Below are 21,643 nucleotides of genomic sequence, written 5' to 3'. Positions count from 1 at the left end.
AATTGTGCAACAAATTCAGTGATTCTCAAACAGACACCGCTAAGAATCTCTGGGTCAGGGAAGGGGGTTTAAGTATAGGGTTTTCATGTTATCCAAAAAAGATGTGAGGTTTTGTTGTTGTTGTTTGTTTGTTTGTTTTTTGAGACAGCATCTCACTCCATTGCCAAGGCTGCAGTACAGTGGCGTGATCTCAGTTCACTGCAATCTCCGTCTCCCAGGTTCAAGCAATTCTCCTGCCTCAGCCTCTGGAGTAGCTGGGATTACAGGTGCCTGCCACCACGCCTGGCTAGTTTTTCTGTTTTTAATAGAGATGGGGTTTCACCACATTGTTCAGGCTGGTCTCAAACTCCTGACCTCAAGTGATCCAACCGCCTCGGCCTCCCAAAGTGCTGAGATTACAGGCCTGAGCCACCATGAGCGCAGGGCTAGGATGTGACTTTTTGAGGCTGGAAAACAATGACAGAGAGGAGACCCCCTGGTGGTGAAGTGCGTCTCTATTCTACCACTAGAGGGTGGCAGCGTGTCCCATGGTGTCCCCAAGCCCCTGGACAGCCAGGTTTCCATGAACACCTAGGGGTTCCGCTCATGCTACCAAAGTCCCTGCTAAAGAGAAAGCACTTTCAGAGAAAACAAAGTGGCCCAAGGCCCAAGGGAAACAAGCTGGCAAAAAGGTTCCGCCACACATCCACCTGGCAGCACCCACTCCATCTTCCCTCCCAAATATTCTCTAGTGAAAGACCCTTTTCTCTTTCTTTCCATTTTTTCTTGTGCCAAGCTGTACATTTTTTAAGGCATATATATAATTAGTTCTATTTTTATTATTTGTTTCCATAAACACAAAATTACATGCCAATAAATATAACCAGAACAAAACATGGTACAGAGAAAAAAAAATCTCTGTGCCTGTTGTTTAATGCTAGTGTGCTGGGAGGCATGAAACAGAGAGAATCACCGTCCTCTTCGTAACTTACTGTTCTTTCTCAATTATAATTAAGCAAAAGTTATACGTGAAACAGTGGTTATCCATATTAAATGCCTATAAATATTTTGAATGAAGACTGCCTATTTCATATTTAAAGTTTGCTTTTCCTTGGTGATGTGTCTCAGTCAGATTGATGACAAAGCTACTGGCAGGAAATACTATGTATCTGAATAATTTCTATGCTTTGTTTCAACAACACATCGAAACAAAATAACCTCAGAGTTATCTGCAGAAATAAAAGAAGAAGTAAAAACCTACAGCAAACTCAGAATATTCTTTAACTTTTATACAAAATAAAATGACACTGTATTTTTAGATTTCATCTTTAACCCCTCATCAGCAGCCAGTTTCAACAAGTAGTGGTTTCATTTCAATTATGTTTCAATAAAAGTAATAGATTCTGGTTCCTGGATTTCCTGTGCATCAATCTTATTCGACGAAACAAAATTTCAATGTACTACCTATGTCATAGGCTGTTCAGTGATACAAAGATAGAGAGAGTGAGAGAGAGAGAGAGACAGAGATTTTAGATACAGGTCTGATAGAGACAGAGATAGAGATACAGATATCCTCCTCCTGTTTGCTCACTATGCCAGGGTATTCTCAAAGCATTTATTGAACTTAAAAGAGCCACAGCATACAAGAAACCTGGGTCTTGAATGACTGCAAGGAGCAAAGGCTGCCCCCACATGAGTGCCCCAATGCCCCCCATCCTGCAGCCTATTCCATGAGTCATAAATAAACCTCTATTGCATTGAATCACTATGAGTTGGGGGTTATTTGTTCTCATATTTGCAATATTTGGAAATAACTGTACTAATAAAAATTGTAATTTCTCCAAAAGTCAGATTGAACTGAGTATCTCTTTATATTATCTGCCAACACTAAATTTAATTAACACAAATGAAAGATAATAGGACACCTGCAGCCATCTGTTTTTAATGCACTTTTTGATTTTGGTTATTTCTGCCCCAGTTGCTTTCATTATACAGTGAGAAGAAACAATCTTCGGACTATCTCACATTAATAACATCAAGAGTTGTTTTATAACAAAAAATACTATCAAAGTCAAAATAAATAAGGCGATTACTAATACACTGATCTCTCTGGAGGGAAGGGCTATAACAGATAGGTGGCTTTTTCTTGAATTCTTCAGCCCGAGTGGATGCAGCAGGGTCCAGAATACAGGGTATTGGGGCTCCTATGCAAGAGCAGACTCTGCTCCATGCAGTCATTCAAGACCCAAGTTTCTTCTATGCTGTGGCTGTGTCGAGTTAACAAATGCTTCAAGGATACCCTGGCATAGTGAGCAGATAGGTGGAAGATATCTCTATCTCTAGCTCTATGTCTATCTATCTATATTCGTAATCTATCTGTCTATTTATCTATCTTTCTTGGTATCCCTGAACAGCCTATGATATAGGTAGCACATTCAAATTTTGTTCCATCAAATAAGATCAGTGCACAGGAAGTGCGGGAGCCAGAACCTATTTCTTTCACAGAAAGATAATTCAAATAAAATTATTTTTTTTGAGAGGGAGTCTCGCTGTCTTGCCCAGGCTGGAGAACAATGGCACGACCTCAGCTCACTGCAACCTCCGCCTCCCAGGTTCAAGCAATTCTCCTGCTCCAGCCTTCTGAGTAGCTAGGACTACAGGCATGTGCCACCATGCCCGGATAATTTTTTGTAATTTTAGTAGAGACGAGGTTTCACCATGTTGGCCAGTTTGGTCTCGAACTCCTGACCTCAAGCAATCTGCCCGCCTCGGCCTCCCAAAGTGCCGAATTACAGGCGTGAGCCACCGCGCCCAGCCAAAATGAAACTATTACATGTTGAAACTAGCTACTGATGAGGGGCTGAACCCTGCTGCCTTGTGTTTCTTGTCTCCTCTCTACCACTTTCTAGGCAGCTGATCTTGGTCAAGTTAACGGGGAAAAAGTGGCCTTATCTCCAAGCCTCAGTCTTTTACCTCATCTTCGAGCTCCATCTGTAAAATGGGTAAAAACATTCTCTACTCTGCCTATATCACTGCTTATTGGAGGAATTAGATGACAAAATGGACTTGAAAGATCATCAAAATTTTAAAGCACTGTAGGAATGTAAGTAATATCCGCATCTTTAGTGGAAAAAGCATAAATTCTCCTGAAGGGGAGAGGGACTGTATTTCCTTTCAGATAGGAGCAGTCAACAGAGGTTTCTGCCACTTCAGGGAGGACATGGTTACCTCTCAAAGAATGAAAGGGGAAAACTATGACGCTCTCCCATTAAGAAAAAAATAGTTTAATTAACTTAAGAAAAATGAAATGATTAACTCTAGAAAGTGATGCCAAGATGACTTTTTTCTCTGACTGGTCTGCTATGAGGACTCACATGGACAAACACACACAGGACTGCAGAGTAGGAGCAGATTGTGTCTCTCTCTTCCCTGGATATTGTCAGGCCCCTTGACTGTCTTTTTTCCTTTTGTAGCAAGAAAATTTTGTTATTTTCTTTTTGTTTCTTTTTTTAATTTTTTTCTTTTTGTTTTAACTATGTTTTTCTCTCTCTTTTTGTCTTCTACTTTGAACCCCAAGAAGCTAGCAAGAACATTTTGTTATTTTCTTTTTGTTTCTTTTTTTAAATTTTTTTCTTTCTGTTTTAAATACTTTTTTTCTCTTTCTTTTTTTCCCTGTACTTTGAACCCTAAGAAACTAGAACATTTTGAACCATGATCATCATTTTCTTTTTCCATCTTCTTGCATAAAATCCACCAGAAACATTTTTTTGGCTAAGTAAAGATTTGTACATCATTTTTATGCTTTATTTGCATAGAAAGATGTCTAGCAAGTTGATCACTGTCTCTTAGGTATATCGAATGCATGACCTCATTGGATTTATTTTTTGGGGGATGCAAAAAAGCATCGGAACAGGATCTGTGTTCTAAAAATGCTTGAGTTTGTTTTAATTAGTCATGGTAAACTCACACACGCATGAAGTGATATTATGAAGGAAGAAGCTGAAGCTCACAGATTCCCAGAAGCAGGGGGTGTGGCCGCCACACCAGGCCATGAGGGAATCACCACGATGCGTCAGGAGGCAGCAGCAGGAAGAGGGGAGAGCATGGCCCAGAGCCTTCCTTGGGTTCTCACAGCAAGGAATGGATGAAGCAGGGCAGGTCTCCTAGGTCCCCACGCTTAGAATTGGATACTTGGGATAATTTTGACAGGCTCTGAGCTGTAGGGGTGACCCCTGATTTTTTGGTACATGGCTCTAGGGTGACTTAGGGCAGGCCGGGGAAATATTACTTGGTATGCGCAAGTTTGATAGAGAAGGTAGTTAGGGTATGGGCTCTGGTTCGGTGAGTGTGCTCACAGGGAGCTGCTTGCTAGCTCTAGCAGAATGAGGGGGACGATACACTGAAGGACAGGACATGTGTCCTCATCTTGGTGTCCCTCTATGTAGATGGGAATGTTCTCTGTTCAGGGGCAGGGCCTGAGTTGAAGCCTGTATTTCCCTATTCTCTCAACTGCAATTCAAAACACTGTCTTTTTTTCCTCACTGATCCTGATGGGCAGTCCCTACAGGATCAAGGCACCAAACACCACAGCATCAAGAATATAGAAAATACAGTAGAAAATACAGTCAATGCTGTTTGAGTAATATCATTTCCTCTCCTCAAATGCTTCCTGCAGGAGCCGTTGAAGAAACTTTTTGACCTTTTCATCCTGTGTCATTTTATTGACTTCAGGGCATCAAAAGTTGACTCCAGGCTTTGCTAGTCACTCATCCACTCTCCTCATCATTTATCAGGTGTTCCCCAAGCCCCTGTGATGTGCAGGGACGATGCAAGGGACCCTGGGATGGAGAAGCCCACCCCTGCCTTCCAGGGTTGGGGTGACAGAGAAATCTACAGTTACCAAATTGCCAGGTAGGTGCTTAAAGGGATATGAACAAGTTGATCAGGGTGGGCCGTAGAAGTGACACTGAGCTACATTCTGAGGGATGTGGGGCCGAGGGAGGGGTGAGGTTTGGAAACAGAATGAGGGACTAATGCACTGAAGGGTGGGGTATGTGTTCCCATCTTGGTGTCCATATATGCAGTACATGGGATTTTCTCTGTCCAGGGATGAGGTCTGGGTTGAAGCTTTTATTTCCCTATTCTCTCCATTGCAATTCAAAACGCTGCCTTTTTTTCTCATTGATTGAAAAAAAACAAACATTTTTTTGAGGTCTATCATGTATCAGCAATTGCCTTAGCCATGTGGAATTCAGGAATGGCCAAGAAAGTCAGGGCCCCTGCCCTCAGGGAGCTTACATTTTGGTGAGAGAGAGCAGCAACCAACCGACAAAGGAGTCTCTGCCTTTATGGGTGAAGAGTGAACAATTAAACAAGTGTCTACTATAAGCAATTAAACACAGCATCCAATGTTAGGTAGCCACCCATGCTGCCAAGAAAAACAAAGCTGGCCAAGGAAACAAAGAGGGAGGAGGATGAGAGCTCCAGAAAGTAAAGTAGCATGGGGGCGATGCGTTCATCCCAGATGATCAGGAAAGGTGTTGATGAGGTCTGAGTGGCAAGGAGGAGCCGGGCGCAGGGAGCTGCGGGCAACAACCACCTGCAGAGGAGAAGGTGAGTGCAAGGGAGAGGACGTGCTCCTTGTCTGTGTACCACGAAATGTCACGAGGGAGTAATGAGCAAGGAAATGGCGTAATCTCTGATTTACATCTCAGAAAACTCACCTTGATAGAAATAGAAGACACTGGGGGCTCTGAAGAGCAGGGGAGACTGGGAAGCGAGGGAGTGAGGGTTGAAAATGTATCTATCAGGTACAATGTGCACCTTTTGGATAATGGGAACAGTAGAAGCCCAATCCCCACCAGCACACAATATTCCCATGTAACAAACATGCACGTGTACCCTCTGAATCCAAACTAAAATAATTTTTTAAAGAAAAATCACTTTGGTTGCTGAGTGGCGAAAGGGTTAAAGAGGAGAAAGGACAGAAGTGGGGTGACCGATTGGGAGGCACCACAGTGAGCAGGGAAGGAGGATGCACGCGTACAGAACATCCTGGGGAAAGGAAGGCGGCATCCCAAGAGTAGGGAAATCACAACAAGCTCACATCTGCAAGCAGCATGGCCCAGTGTGCAGATCCCCACTCCACAGCTCCTATTACACTATCTCTTCCAAGGCTTCCTTTCTCTGGCCTTTGCCTCAGGGCCAGTAGGCTTGGGCAAGTGACCCACATTCAGTGGCTGATGTTCAGTGGCCCATGCGCAGATCCACACTCAGCTACTTAGTGTAGAAAAAGTCACTTAAAACTTTCTCAGTCTCATTATCTTTATCTGTAAAATTTAAGGTAGTTCTTATCTCTGGGTGTTGTTACAAGGAAGAATTGAGATACTATCTCAATTCTTTGAAATCGAATCCTATGAACATAAGAGATGGTTTGAAAAACCAGATCTGCTCTGTAGTCCAGCCTCTGGTTGAGGCAAAGCCCAAATCATTAACTTGAGGCCCATTTGATTCCTTGGAGGAATTCTTCCTGTCTAGACCCCAGGTCTTGAGATTATTGCACCCTAGGACAAGCTAGGTTGCTACTCCTAAAGGAAGGCTGGTGGCCAGGCTTCCATCGCATGCAAACGTGGTCCAAGTCATTTTATCCCATTCACCTTGGCTGTGGAGAAATCAGGAAATCAGTCATGCTGGGATTGATTAAGGATGTCGGCTACACACGAGGATAGAAAATGCTCCAGAGCAAAAGTCTGTCCTCCCTCCAAGCATTCACAGGGCAGGTTGGCACATGACGCCAAAAGAAAATAGTTGCTTTTCCTACTTATGTTTTGCTGAGAACCTCACATGGACATTTCATTCCTATAACTTTCATGTTGGCCTGCTCCAAAGAAATTAACTATTCAGTTAGAACAATAGTGTCCCCTACAACTGGGGTTTGGTTTAGCTCCTTCCTGAATGGAAACTTCCTTCATTTTCTCTAAGCCCACTTGTTCAATGTGTAATGCTGGGTACGATGTCCTCACCAATGTCCACACAGCGAGTTTCGAAGGCTGGTTGTCATCATGTCACTCAATGTAGACTCACAGTTCAGTTCATTAAAAACATATACATATATCAAAGAAGAAAACTCATGTTGTCAGCACATGTGGTGGCTCATGCCTGTAATCCCAGCACTTTGGGAGGCCAAGGCGGGCAGATTGCTTGAGCTCAGGAGCTCAAGACCAGCCCAGGCAGCATGGTGAAACCTGTCTCTCCAAAAAAAAAAAAAAAACAAAAATTAGCTAAGTGTGGTAACACACACCTGTACTCTCACTACTCAGGAGGCTGAGGTAGAAGAATGGCTTGAGCCCAGGAGATTGAGGTTACAGTGAGCCATGATCGTGCCACTGCAGTCCAGCCTGGCTGACACAGCAAGACCCTGTCTCAACAAAACAAAACAAAACAAAACAAAACAAAACAAAGCAAAACAAAACAAAAAACGAATGTCTTAATGTCTCCCTGTAGGTTCCCCTGTCAATCTGGCTTAATCGGGGGATTTTAAAAAAATATTTAAAGAGGTTTATTCTGAGCCAGATATGAGTGGCCAAGGCCCCCGACACAGCCCCAGGAGATCCTTAGAACATGTGCCAGAAGTGGTTGGGTTACATCTTTATCTTATACATTTTAAGGGAACAGAAGTTACAGGCAGACATTCATCAATACATGTAAGATGTATATTGGTTTGGACCAGAAAGGGGGGACAGCTCGAACTGGGGGCTTCCAGGTCACAGGCTGATTGAAAGATTTTCTGATTGGCAATTGGTTGAAAGAGTTATTATCTAAAGACCTGGAATCAAAGAAAAGAGTGTCTGGATTAAGATAATGCGTTGTAGAGACCAAGGTTCTAATTGTACAGATGAAGCCTCCAGGGAGGCTTCAGGGAGATTAGACGGTAAATGTCTCTAATCAGACCTAAGAAGGTGTCAGACCCTCAGTTAATCTCTCCTGGTGGTTCCATCGTGTAAAGGTGGGCACCCTGGGCTCTGAACCCAGGCGTAATTTTTAAAGCACCAAAAGAACGAAGCATCCTCTACACAGAACGTGTCTCCTGCTGCAACTGTGGTAAGTGCTGTGGGGAGGGCATTGACAGGAACATCCCAGCAGATGCCTGGGATACAGACGCTCTATGTTCTCATTGAAATGCCGCCTGGTTTCTTTTTACCACAGTTCAACTGGAAATGACGTGCTTTTGTGAAAGGCTGTCATCCTCTGGAGAAAGTTGAGGCATCTTAGGAGGCCACATCCCTCCACAGAAGGCCAGCACACTACCATTTGGAGGAGTGCTAAGAATGCATTTATGGACAAGGTCACAAGTCTCCCCAGAAAGAAATGGTGGAGCCACTTTAACACACAAAGGGCTGTGTAGTGTTTGTGTGGCTTTGCTTCTCTGAGCCTCAGTTCCTTTCCTCGGGACGCTGTGACTGGAGAGGTCTGTGATTCTAAGGCATGGCCTCTCCCTCAAAAAACTTACAATCTCATATCAAATTCATACCAAACCGAACAAAGGCAAAATAAGGCAAAACCATAAACCATCCAGGGCCGAGGTACATGTCAACAACAGATAAAAAGCCATTTTAGGGGAAAATAAAACAGCTGGTAATGGTGATATTTTTACTAAACCTCATAAGATAGGAGGAATTTGGTAAGGCAGAGAGGTAAAGAGAGAAGTGATTAGAGCAGCACTCTCTACCTTCTCACCTGACAGGGGATTGCTGCGTAAGTGAATCTGCATCCATTCATTCATTCATTCATTTCTTCAACAAATATGTCTTGAGCATCTCTGCTGTGCTAGGCCTGTTTCTCCAAGCTGGGGACACAGCAGGAAAACAAAGGCGTTAAGCCCCCTGAATGCGCTGGGCTTACATTTTCCTGGACTGATAAACATATAAGAAAGTAAAAGATGCATCTGCCCAGGCAGCAAGGCCAGCCGGCTCCCTGCTAAGAGGCTCTTCCCTTTTACCTCTGATGCAGGTTTTACCCCAGGAGCTGCCTCCTCCCTCTGACCCTACTTCAGTGACTCACCCTTTTCATTTGGGAACTTACACTTCCCCTGCCTAGGGTTTTAGCACGGATCCCATCAGGGAGGCATTCAGACTGGCGACCCCATGTGAAAAAGAACAATCTAAGTAGCGGCTGACACTCTGTGTTCAGAACCTGCCTGCAAATCCAACACCGGCCCAGCATGGTTGGCCCAAGCGTGTGGTCTTCACATTCTCTTAACTGAGCATGGGTTCTTTGGCCGTGGAGCAACTCAAGCTCTCTGCCACCTACGCAGACTCCACGACACATGTAAGTCTGCAGGGAGACCACAGCTTATGCTGTCACTCTGGGTCCCCTGTCATATGCAGTCACCTCAAGCAGAAAAGGCTTAACGTAAAGACATTCCCATCCTGATCCCTTAATTTCTCATGCAGATATACCAAGCACTAGCTTCCAGGCGGCAGCCCTTCCACTGCCAGATTTCATGACTCTCTCATGGAGTTTGCTCCTGGATTTTCCTCCAACGTGGCTATGGCTCAGTTCCCACTCCTCCTGGCTCGTGATCAGCAGACATACCAGGCTAAGCCATCAGCACAAGGCAATAGGCCACTCAGGTGTGTCGCCTGTCCCCAGACCAGAGCGTCCGCCAGGGGACATCTGGCTCCAGCAGGCCTCTTTCCATTTTCCACTTTAACTGTAGTGGAAGTAATGACCCCTGACATCCAGCAAGTGCTTATTGCTTCCATGTTTTAATTAATGCACTACACATATTATCTCATTTATTTTTCAGAACAATTCTATGATATAGGCACCAGGATTATTTCATTTTATAGATGGAAAAAGCTGAGTCATGGATATTAAATAGGTTAATTGCCCATGATCGCATGTCTTGAGAATGGTTGAGCTGGTGTTCAAAACTGGGCCTGTCTGTTTCTAAGGCCTTGTTTGCCATGAGACACAACCTTGTTTGAGTATAACCTGCTGGAAATCTGTTGACTTTAAGGATTCCCAGAGCTGAACAAAGGAAGAAGTTCCCTTGCCAAATACACTTCCTTTCTTCAAAACAGAAAACAAACACATGAAGTCATCCTTCCAGGTAACACATTTATATCAACCAGCAGATCTTGATGAGCTGGTTGGGAAGAATTTGAGATGACTCCGTCTTCACCTTTCAGCCTTGTGGTACCTGGGTTTTCATTTTTCTCTGTCAGTTGGCCCTAAAGCCTGGAAAAGGGCCCTCCCTCTCCAGAGTCACTGGAAATAATAATGCTAAGAGGAGATTTGATCAGCAATTCCACGTGTCAGTAAAAGGGACCCACGTTCCACTGACCCTCAAACCAGCAACTGAATTTTGTTGATTAACTATTACTGGGTGTCTATTTGGAAACAAGCACTCTTCTAGGTTCTGGGAATAAAACAGTGAACAAAATACATTTTTAAAAATCTCCAGCAACCTAGATCATTACAACAGCCACTCAGCTTGTCTCATTGGATCTTCCTTGCCCTCGTTCCAATCTACTTCCTCCACATCTTTTTAAAATGAAAAGGAATTAGACCAGGTGCAGTGTCTCATGCCTATAATCCCAGCACTTTGGGAGGCTAAGGTGGGAGGATCACTTGAGTTCAAGAGTTCAAGACCAGCCTGCGCAACAGAGTGAGACCTCATCTCAACAAAAAAATAAACAAACAGCTGGATATAGTCCCAGCTACTCTAGGGGCTGAGGTGGGAGGTCAAGACTGGAGTGTGCTGTGATTGCACCACTGCACTGCAGCCTGGGTGACACAGCAAGATTCTGTCTCAAAAAAAAGAAAAAAATGGCTGGGTGTGGTGGCACAAGCCTGGAGGCCCACCTGCTCAGGAGGCTGAGGTAGGAGTATTGCTCCAACTAGAGAGGTCTAGACTGCAGTGAGCTATGACTGTGCCACTGCATACCAGTATGGGCAACAGAGCAAGACCTTGTCTCTAGAAAAAAAAAGAAAAATGAAAACGATTTCTTCACATCGTTCTCAATACCTTCGATGACATCCCATTGTCCTCAAGAAGCATCCTGAAGTCCTGTAAATGGCTTATCAAAAAGGCAGCTGTGAAGTGGCTCCGTCACACGTTGTGCCACATGCATGCGTCTAGGCGGACCTAGGTCTGGATCATCCTGTCTGTTCCGTTTATTCTGCCACCTTTACCCAGCCAAGCGCTGCTGAAATAATCACACAGCCCTATGCACATGGCCTTCAGTATTGAAGGAAAGGCAAATGCAGAGACGTGGGGGCCCATTTCCTCCCCATTATGCAGCTTAGAGAGGGCCGGCCCTGCACACCTGAGTCAGCTCGGTGGCAGATCAGGGTGTGCCAGTCCCTGCCACCGAGATGTCCCCTTTCTAAGAGAGCCACTTCTCTGAGCAGGGAGCATCACTCTCTATGACATTTAGTTGTTCCTTGACCTAACCTCTAGTCCATCCCTGAAATAGTGATCACTACGGAGGACAAGGCCTCTCTCTGTGGACTGCCTACCAAGATCCTCGCAGGCCACCTATGCTGAGCCACACCATGCAGTCCCGAGAGTTCCAGGGAGCCAACGGGCTCCACCACGGCTGTTGGTAAGTCTGCAACCTCTGATGCCCTCTCTTCTCTCCCCGACGTGTGCCTGTGAAGAACGTGGTGAGGACCTGCAACATTTTTGCTGAACGCTATTTCCTTTTTATTTATTTGTTAACTTTTCTTTTTGAGACAGGGTCTTGCTATGCTGCCCAGGCTGGTCTCGAACTCCTGGGCTCAAGCAATCCTCCTGCCTTGGCCTTCCAAAGTGCTGGGATTAGAGGCATGAGCTGCCACAACCAGCCACTCAACATTTCTCATGATCTTGTTCAAATCTACTTCCTGATGTGTGTTTAAATTCCATCAGGACCAGGGACCTCTCTGACTTATCCCCTATATTCTCCGAGCCTAGCACAGAACCTGGCATACAACAAACGACCAACAGCTGTTTCCTGAAGGAAAGGTGCTCCTATGATAACTCATCATGCTTTGGTTGTTGGTGTGTCTTTTTCCTCAACTAAACTATGTTCTGAAATGGTCGAAACAGTATTTTATTTATGGTTGTAATTCCACACCCTAATGGCATACTTGCAGCACACTTGCTCAATAAATGCCAAATGAATGAATAAAGGAATGAATTAATGCCGTCCCTCCCCCTCTCTGGGCCTCCTCTGCAAAATGATCAGGTAGAGGAGAGGACCTCTTTCATGGCGCTGCTTCTATTGCTCTATGATATCAGCATTGCACAGGCAGCCGTGTTTCTGAGTCTCTGAAAGTTGGAGTCCACCACAGAGAGCTGCATAAAATGTTTGCTCAAATGGAAGGATAGACAGAGGAGATAGTTGGGAATTCTAGCTAGAGTGTGTCTTTCTAAAAATTTTGAAGTCATATGCCAAAGTCAAAATTTGTAAAGCTTTGGTTGAGTGGTACAATGAATAATAACCAAACGCTAAGTTTCCAGATTCTGTTTCTTGCAAATTAGTTTTGTTAAAGAGGTTGGCTAAGAAAGTGGCTTTTAGGCCAGGCACAGTAGCTCACGCTTATAATCCCAGCACTTTGGGAGGACGAGGGGGGCAGATCACCTGAGGTCAGGAGTTCGAGACCAGTCTGGCCAACATGGTGAAACCCCATCTCTACTAAAAATACAAAAAAAATTACCTGGGCATAGTGGCGTGTGCCTGTAATCCCAGCACTTCAGGAGGCTGAGGCGGGTGGTTCATGAGGTCAAGAGATCAACACCATCCTGGCCAACATGGTGAAACCCCATCTCTACTAAAAATACAAAAATTAGCAGAGCCCAAGTGGTGGCAGGCGCCTGTAGTCTCAGCTCCTTGGGAGGCTGAGGCAGGAGAATCACTTGAACTGGGGAGGCAGAGGTTGCAGTGAGCCGAGATCATGCGGCTGCACTCTGGCCTGGTGACAGAGCAAGACTCCGTCTAACAAAAAAAAGAAAAAGAAAAGAAAAACAAAGTGGTTTTTAAACTACATTTCAAGTTCCCAGAAGTCTTTTTGGTAGGGAGAGATGAAGTTGAAGTTTCCATATAATATAGATATAGTGGCCACAGAAACCTGTGTTTAACTACAACCATTATATTTAATATGTATTTTATGTATGTTTATAAGCAATTTAAAAATATTTCAAGTTTATAACATAAAACAAACATACATAAAATACTTTTAATTATCTCATTTTTCAAAAATAATAATAAGGGTGTGTACATGTTATAGTATTGCCGAACTGCCAACAGTTTGTGAGCGTCAAAATAACATTTTTTCTTTGAATTTGATTACTTCTCAGATTTCCATTCTTTTTAAAAAATTTTTAAAAAATGGATGTTTTTGCTGTCAAGATTTGTAAGCACCTTAAGAAATTGTTTTGACCTGACCAAACATTGTTCCAGAGGCAGAAGCAAGAACTCAGCCATCCACGAGTTGCACTCTTGGTCATGTCTTCCTATTCCTTGAAACACTGGTGCTCTGTGAGACCTCTCAGATGTGCCATGAGAATTTAGAAAAAAAATCCCAAATTGTACCAAAAATATTTAAATAATAACCGTCATGACAATATTATTTCTAGCTCTCATGAAATTTATCTCTTTAGTTATTTTGACATGGTGCTATTCAGATTTGGGGTTCTGAAATTAAATGAGAAAATACAGTCAAAGCACCCAGAATCCTAGTGGCCCCTGGTGCTCCCCACTTCTCTCCTCCACTGGTGTCCCTCCCATGGTAGAATCACTTTTAGTGGCTTCTTCACTGAAAAAGATAACTGAAGTCAAATGTTCACCCTCTCCACCACTCCCTTAAAAGATCCTGCCGTGGAAAAGATTCTGCCAGGGATCCAGGGCGCCATGGATCCTTTCATGGCACCTTTGGGATTTGGCATTTTGCAAGCTCTGGGAGGGTTTGCAGGGAATTGGTGATGTTGTGATAACAGAGGCCTGAGAAGAAGGGGTATTAGACTTCTACAGGACCCCTCTCTTCTGTGCTCATGGGTGGGTGGATGACTGGAATCGAACAGGACCACACAGTGAGTGGGCTCCAGCGGCATGCATAGCTCAACCCAGCTGTGGGTCAAGAATTACTTTAGTTGTACCGTTAAGCTGAACATGGAACTACAGCCACACTCATTCTGTGCTTATTTACTGAGCAGCTACTATGCGAAAAGTGGCCAGAGTGCAAGAACTATAAGAAATATGGCCTGGTCCCTGCTGTTTAGGAGCTCCCACTTTTCCATGTATCTGCATAGAAAGCTTTCTATTAGTTGGTGCAAACATAATTGCAGTTTTTGTATTGTGGAAATTTGCTAATTGACATTGGAATAGCTTCCTAAATAAATGTGGTTATATTATACATTTCAATGCACATTTCTCACTTTTTTTGGCTAACGGCTTGTTACTTGCTATTTATTTTATATTTATTTTGGACTATGGAAATGATGTTAGACAAAAAGCAAATTTGAGCAATTTTCTTATTTGAGTTCAAAATGCGTCATAAAGCAGCAGAGACAACTTGCAACATCAACAACGCATTTGGTCCAGGAACTGCTAATGAACACACAGTACAGTGGGGGTTCAGATGAGAAGCGTAGTGGCCGGCCACGGGAAATTGACCACGACCAGTTCAGAGCAATCATCGAGGCTGATCCTCTTACAACTACCCAAGAAGTTGCCAAACAACTCAACGTCGACCATTCTACGGTCATTCGGCATCTGAAGCAAATTGGAAAGGTGAAAAAGCTCAATAAGTGGGTGCCTCATGAGCCAAACACAAATTTAAAAAACAAAATCATCATTTTGAAGTGTCATCTTCTCTTATTCTGCACAACAACGACAATCCATTTCTTGATCAGATTGTGACATGCGATGAAAAGTGGATTTTATACGATAAGCGGTGGAGACCAACTGAGTGGCTGGACTGAGAAGAAGCTCCAAAGCATTTCCCAAAGCCAAACTCGCACCAAAAATAGGTCATAGTCACTGTTTGGTGGTCTGGTCTGCGCAGGTCTGATCCATTATAGCTTTCTGAATCCCTGAGAAACCATTACATCTGAGAAGTATGCTCAGCAAATCCGCGAGATGCATCGAACACAGCAATGCCTGTAGCTGGCGCTGGTCAACAGAAAGGGCCCAATTCTCTCCTCGACAATGCCCGACCCCAAGTTGCACGATCCATGCTCCAAAACTTGAACGAATTGGGCTATGACGTTTTGCCTCATGCACCATATTCACCTGAACCTCTTGCCAACCAACTACATCTTCAAGCATCTGGACAACTTTTTGCAGGGAATACACTTCCGCAACCAGCAGGATGCAGAAAAATGCTTTCCAACAGTTACTCAAATCCTGAAACACAAATTTTTACACTACAGGAATAAACAAACTTATTTCTTGTTGGCAAAAATGTGTTGATTGTAATGGTTCCTATTTTGACTAATAAAAATGTATTTGAGCCTAGTTATAATTTTTTAAAATTCACAGTCTGAAACCGCAATTGCTTTTGCACCAAACTAATATGAACATGAGGTCTCCCCAGCTCCTGGGCTGAGTACACACACCCTGTCAGAGGAAGACGTGAAGTGGATTCCATCACAACTGCCACACGCCTGGGCCCGGTGGAGCCAGTCAACCCAAACTTGTATTCAGTGCAGCATTTTCCCACATTTTGCCATCTGGTCTTATGCAAAACAGGTGTTGTTCTGCAGCTACAGAAAATGTGACCCGGGCACTTTGGTTATATACTCCCAGTTACTTGTCTAATAATTAGCCATGCTGGAATTCACAGTCGCAGACACTAAAGCCTGGGATTCTTGCAATGCTACAGCCATGAGCCTAGCCACACAGAAGGCACTGGGCCTTAGCCCATTTGACCTCCACAGCAACAGTCCTATAAGGCCACTGTCACCCTATCTCCCAGGATGAGACAGAGACTCAGGGAGGCAAGTACTTGCACTCTACCTGTCCAGCTCGCATACGCCACTGGGCTAGAATTCACCTTACAGCTCTGCCCTTATGCACATCAGGGAGGAGGAAGGCAGCCTTTACACGCCACAGACTTACAGACACCATTTATAGACATTTCAGGCAGCACAGAGTGGAAGCCAGGAGGGCTTGATAGGCTTGCAGTGAGAACAGTCATCTCTGTGCCCCAGGCTGCACTCATGCCCTCAGTTCACACCAGTCCTTGGAGCGCCTACGCTGGTGACTGGGGCTGAGGGATGGTGGATGGAGGGCATGCTGGGTCAGAAAGAATCGTGGGGGGGCTTCATCCAGCCTGTCCTTTCTCTTCCCCCATCCTTTCTCTTCCCCCTGTCCTTTCTCTTCCCCCTGGGTCCCTGCTGCCCCTGGGCTCCTTCCCAGCCTGTGCCTCATCTGGGATGTGTCCTCTGAGGCAGCAACTGCCCTTGACCTTATTGTTACCTACCCTCTAGGCTCCTCTCCCAGCTTTTGCGTTTGGGTGGAGGATGTGGCCAGCAGACACCGTGATGCCTGCGTGTCTGGGCAAAACAGGGGAAGAGAGGAAATACCAGCCGGCTCAGCCTGTGTGTGTATGTGCACCCGTGGGTCAGCATGTGCATGTGTGTGTCTGTATGTGTGTGTCTCTGTGTGTCTGTGTGTGTGTCTGTGCGTGTGTGTCTGTGTGTCTCTGTGTGTCTGTGTGTATCTGTGTGTATGTGTGTCTGTGCATGTGTGTGTCTATGTATCTGTGTGTGCCTGTGTGTGTGTGTCTGCATGTGTGTCTGTGCATGTGTGTCTGTGTCTGTATGTGTGTGTGTCTGTGTGCTTATGTGTCTGTGTGTGTGTCTGTGTGTGTCTGTATGTGTGGGTGCGTCTGTATGTGTGAGTGTGTCTACGTGTGTGTGTGTGTATGTGTGGCTGTGTGTGTCTGTGCGCGTGCGTGTATACAATATTGGTGGCTCCCTCTCTAGAGAGGCCTTCTCAGACTGCCTCCTCTTAAACTAACCTCTTCATCCACTTATCCTGATTAATTTTTTACACACTTTCCCCTGCCTGACACCATATTTTACACACACACACACACACACACAGAGTTTATGGGTCTGTTGTCCGTCTTTTCCACTGGGTTAACCTATTCTAGTAAAACAGAAGTTCTAGGAGGGAAGGAACCTTGCTTGTCCTGTGACTCCATGTGATTGGCATCAGGACAGAGCCCCTGCAAGTGGAGCCAGGAAACAGGGAGGGCGGGCGCAGGGGAAGTGTCGTCCTCCAGGCTGCAGACCAAGGTCACAGAAGCCTCCCCACCCATGGCTGAGGCCTGTTGCCGAGAAGGCTAAGAAACCTCCACCAATCTCCAAGAATGGTGGCCTGCACTTCACCAAAACTGTCCAAATCCCTCACGAGTTCCCCACAGTAGTGAACCCTGACTCAGGCCCACACGTGGGAGGGACAAGAGTGTTGCTGCTGAGGGCACAGCCAGCTGGGAGACAGGAGGCTCCCAGATGCACAGCAAGCAGTCAATCAACATCCATGAATAAATGGGCAAACTAATAAGGAACCCATTGATATTTAGACTGATTCAAATGCACTAGAAAGGGCCAGGCGCAGTGGCTCACGCCTGTAATCCCAGCACTTTGGGAGGCCAAGGTAGGCTGATCATTTGAGGTCAGGAGTTCGAGACCAGCCTGGCCAACATGGTGAAACCCCATCTCTACTACAAATGCAAAAATTAATCAGCTGTGGGGGCGCATGCCTGTAGTCCCAGCTACTCAGGAGGCTGAGGCACCAGAATCGCTTGACCCCAGAGGGCAGAAGTTGCCGTGAGCCAAGATCATGCCACTGCACTCCAGCCTGGGCAACAGAGTGAGACTTGGTCTCAAACAAAAAAGAATGCATTAAAAAATTTCAAGACTCTGATTTTCAACAACTAATAATCTTGTTCATCTATTTAAGAATATTGCACGGCATATTTATTTAACCTGTGAAAGGAAAATCAATCTCGGGACCACCAAATCACTAAGCCAAGGGGAAAATTCAAGCAGGGAACTGCGATAGGCAAACCTGCCTCCCATTTTATTCCTAGATAAGATAGCTGCAAAGATTTAAAAAGCTACACACCTCCCTCACAATTTTCCCACAAGGAAATTCCTTGTGGGCCTCAAGATTTTTCCCCTAGAACAGTTCTGCTGAATTTTACCCTGACAGTGTAAACTGATAGCTTACCTTCCCAGGTGTGGGACAGAAAGTCATCCCTCTGCTCACCTGAGGCAAATGCACATCTGATTGCTTCCTCTGCCCTTTTGTTGATGGAGAATGCAGATTCACTGAGCCAGACTAAGACATAAGTGACTATTCCCCTATCCCACTCTCACATATATATTGTATATTCACTGAAAGGCTGAGCAAAAACTCAAAAGAACGCAAACTTTGGGCTCCTATCTACCTATGACGTGGAAGCCCCCGCCTTGAGTTGTCCCAACTTTACAGACCAAACCAATGTACAGCTTACACATATTGATTTGTCTCATATCTCCCTAAAATGTTTAAAAAGCAAGGCGTCCCCTGACCACCTTGGGCACATGTCATCAGGACCTCCTGAGGCCGTGTCACGGGCAAGTCTTTAACCTTGGCAAAATAAACTTTCCAAATTGATTGAGACCCGTCTCTAATACTTTGGGTTCACAAAACAAAAGCTCATTGTTGCCACGGTTTGCGCAATTTCTCAGCAGCCAGCGCAATGAGACACATGGGTTCTGTCATCAGTTTTATTTGTGAAACCTGGCTGTGGTTCCTACCTTCAAAAGTAGAGCAGGGATGGCTTTCACTTAACCTCCACCAGCTTTTATCTCATCCGGCTGTGGGCAGACCTTGTTTACTGTCCCTGCCACCTGTGGCTTCAGTGGCTCGTAGGCAGGAACCAAACCTTTGAATCCCTAAAATCCCAGCCCCATGCACATCCCGGCACAGAGGATAGGCTCCGTGACTGTTTGCCAAATGAGTAAAAGGAAAGGAATCTGTGCACCGTGTGCCCTGTTACTAACCATCTCAGATCAGAGCAAATCTATGATAGACTCCATTATTTCTACTAATTATGCATTAGAATATGCTCTCCCGGAACCAAGGCACACCATGGTGCAGAGATGATTTGTTGACAACCCAGTGCCCAAAATACTCTATTGAGCAGGTACCCAGTTTAAAAGGTAATAATTTATACTAACATTTTAGGTGAATTAAGAATGCATTCATCTATTAGAGATATAGTCTGATAGGCTGGGAAGGGCATGGGCTTTGGAATCCAAAGCCAAGTCTGGATCCTGACTTCACTCTTTTCCTAGCTGGCCCTGGAAAGGTTGTTTTGTATTTCACTAATATCTCCAAACTGCCTGTCTATATTTGGGCATTACGGTCTGCTTTGCTGGGTTGTTGTAAGAATGAAATATGATGCCTGCAAACTATATGTTATAGCATTTATTGATGAGGATGTAGAGAAATCAGAACCCTTGCACACTATGGGTGAGAATATAAAATGGTGCAGCTGCTATGGAAAACATCATGGTGGTTCCTTAAAAATTAAACATAGATTTACTATATGATCCAGTCCATTCTCACATTGCTATGAAGAAATACCTGAGACTGAGACTGGGTAATTTATAAAGAAAGAGGTTTAATTGACTCACTGTTCCACAGGCTGTACGGGAAGCATGGCTGGGGAGGCCTCAGAAAACTTACAATCATGGCAGAAGGCAAAGGGGAAGCAGGCACATCTCACATGCCAGAGCAGGAGCAAGAGAGAGCAGAAGAAGGGAGAGGCCATGCATTTTTAAACAACCGGATATTGTGAGAACTCACTCACTATCATGAGAACAGCATGGGGGAAATCCGCCCCCATGATCCAATCACCTCCCAGCAGGTTTCTGCCCCAACACAGGGGATTACAATTCAACATGAGATTTGGGTGGGGACACACAGCCAAACCATATCCATACCCAAAACAAGTGAAAGCAGAGATACAAACAGATATTTGTACATTCATGTCTACAGCAACATTATTCGCAATGGCCAGAGGGTGGAAGCAACCCAAGTGTCCATGGACTGCAGAATGGATGAACAGAATGGGTCGTCCACAGGCAATGGAACATTATTCAGCCTTAGAAAGGAAGGAAATTCTGACACGTGCTACTCCATGAATGAACCTTGAAAACATTACGCTAGGTGAAATAAGTCCAGTCACAAAAGGACAAATACTGTATGATTCCACTCATATGAGGTACCTAGAGTAGCTGAATTCATACAGATGGAAAGTAGAATGGGGGTTACCAGGGAAATGGAGAGTTGGTGTTTCATGGGTACAGAGTTTCCACTGGGAGAGATTTTAAAATATCTAGAGATGGATAGTGGTGGTGGTTGCATAACAATACAAATATAGTTAGTGCCACAGAACTGCACACTTAAAAATGGTTATAATGGTGAATTTTATGTTATATAGATTTTTCCATAATTAAAAAAAAAAAACAACGTAGCCTTTTCACAAGATGGCGCCGAAAGCAAAGATGGAAGCTCCTGCCCCTCCTGAAGCGGAAGCCAAAGTGAAGGCTTTGAAGGCCAAGAAGGTAGTGTTGAAAGGCGTCCACAGCCACAAAAAAAAAAGAAGATCCGCACGTCACCCACTTTCCGATAACACTGCGACTCCGGAGGCAGCCCAAATATCCTCGAGACAGCGCCCCCCGAAGAACAAGCACCCAGATATCCTCGAGAGAGCTCCCCCTGGAGAACAAGCAGCCCAGATATCCTCGAGAGAGCTCCCCCCCACCGGGAGAACAAGCGCCAAAATATCCTCGGGAGAGCGTCTCCTGGAGAACAAGCTTGACCACTATGCTATCATCGAGTTGCCGCTGACCACTGAGTCGGCCGTGAAGAAGACAGAAGACAACAACACACTTCTGTTTATTGTGGATGTTAAAGCCAACAAGCACCAGATCAAACAGGCTGTGAAGAAGCTCTATGACATGGATGTGGCCAAGGTCAACTCCCTGATTCGGCCTGATGGAGAGAAGAAGGCATATGTTTGACTGGATCCTGATTACAATGCTTTGGGTGTTGCCAACAAAATTGAGATCATCTAAAAAGCTGGCCAATTCTAAATATACATATATAATACATATAATACATAATATAATATATATTATATATATAATATAATATATATAATATATAATATAATATATATAATATATAATATAATATATATAATATATAATATAATATATATAATATATAATATAATATATATAATATATAATATAATATATATAATATATAATATAATATATATAATATATAATATATAATATATACATACATGTAATATAATATGTAACATATGTGATATATATCATATATGTGTGTGTGTATGTGTATGTGTACATATACACATATATGATATATGTTATATATGTGTATATATACATATATATGTGTGTATATATACATATACATACATATATATGTATATTACCAGAAAAAAGTATATGGCACAAGAAATAAATGTTTGCTTTTATTTGTCTGTTTGTGAGGGTCAGATCTTAAGAAAAGCTTACAGAAGTCAAGAGTGATGGTGATGCCACAACTGGAAAGATTGGGCCCATGGAGTTTCTTGC

General features: G+C 44.1%; 1 pseudogene; it reads left to right on the top strand.

Annotated features, from left to right (window-relative positions):
- RPL23AP96 (ribosomal protein L23a pseudogene 96) lies at positions 20,507-21,143 on the top strand (annotated as a pseudogene).

The sequence above is a fragment of the Homo sapiens genome, chromosome 8 (assembly GCF_000001405.40).
Source record: "Homo sapiens chromosome 8, GRCh38.p14 Primary Assembly".
NCBI classification, from domain to species: Eukaryota; Metazoa; Chordata; class Mammalia; order Primates; family Hominidae; genus Homo; species Homo sapiens.
This window is presented reverse-complemented; position numbering and strand designations above follow the sequence as displayed.